Source organism: Homo sapiens, chromosome 7, assembly GCF_000001405.40.
Source record: "Homo sapiens chromosome 7, GRCh38.p14 Primary Assembly".
NCBI classification, from domain to species: Eukaryota; Metazoa; Chordata; class Mammalia; order Primates; family Hominidae; genus Homo; species Homo sapiens.
The window spans coordinates 73,918,740-73,919,854 of NC_000007.14; the positions used below are offsets into that span (position 1 = coordinate 73,918,740).

The window sequence follows — 1,115 nt, forward strand, 5'->3', positions numbered from 1 at the left end:
GGAGTTTTGCCATGTTGCCCAGGCTGGTCTCGAACTCCTGAGCTCAAGCCATCCTCCTGCCTCGGCCTCCCATAGCGCTGAGATTATAAGTGTGAGACACTGTGTCCATCCCCAGTAACCACTTAATAAGTTTTTTCAATAAATAATTGAATGAATTAATGATACATGAGAAGAAAACATGCAATAGAAGGAGATTGATATTAAATTCTGAAACGTGGCAGTGCAATGCGGGATCTGACCAAGCATAAATTGGCAGTGAAGTTGCCCAGAGCCTAGGCCATGGGGAGGCAGTGTTGTGAAACCCTGTGGGTGGTGGTGGTCAGGGTGGGCTTCCTGGAGGAGGCGGAGTGGTAGTGACTAGCCCAAGCTGGCTCCAGCCAGCCACAAACATGTCAAGTGCTGTGGGACTGGCAGCTGTTGCTGCATGCTTTGCCCTGGGCCATTCTGCTATGACTCGGGTCAGGGGAGACTGGCAGAGTATCATCTCCCGCTCGGGTCCAGGGAGTGGGCCCAGATGGGAGACAGTGATGGTGAGGACCAGCCCCATGCTGGAGACACACGGAACATTTTAGAGTGGATTTCATGCCTCGGCCCTAATGTGGACCGGCTCTGCTTTGGTTCGGAAAAACAGACGTCTCCCTCCAGCCTCCTGAAACCAATTGGAAACAAACCTTCCTTCCCAGCCCTTCCCCCAACATCTGTAGAGAGGCCAACACCCAATCAGAATGAGACAGAACAAAGCAGGAGAGGAAAACAAGGGGCTGGGGACCCAGCTCCCTGCAGTGAACGAGCGGAGAGCTGGCTTCCTCTCGGTGGCTGGAAACCTGGTTGTCTGAACACACCTGTTGGCCTCTCTGGAGCCCCACTCCCTGACCGTCTCCTCAACCTCTCCGTTGATTAGGGAGGCTGCAGACAGGTCCCGCCACAGCCGCACTTCCACTCCATGTCACTGATGGCCTGCAGGCTGCCCTGTGCCTATAAAGGCCATGTTTGTTGCCTGGCACAAGAGGGCACCTGCCTTCCACCCTGGCCCCAGCCCCACTCCTAATGCCCCCTCTGTCCCCCCGTGGTCTCCTGGCAGTCACCCAGGTGAGGCCAAGAGGGCCTGGTATCTC

The 1,115-nt window shown here is 55.5% G+C and overlaps 1 annotated feature.

Moving 5' to 3' along the window:
• Nucleotides 620-914: an enhancer, noted in NCBI's record as "tiled region #8209; HepG2 Activating non-DNase unmatched - State 22:ReprW". NCBI's record gives its function as "activates a minimal TATA promoter and a strong SV40 promoter by Sharpr-MPRA in HepG2 cells {active_cell/tissue: HepG2}" and the evidence as "EXISTENCE:reporter gene assay evidence [ECO:0000049][PMID:27701403]".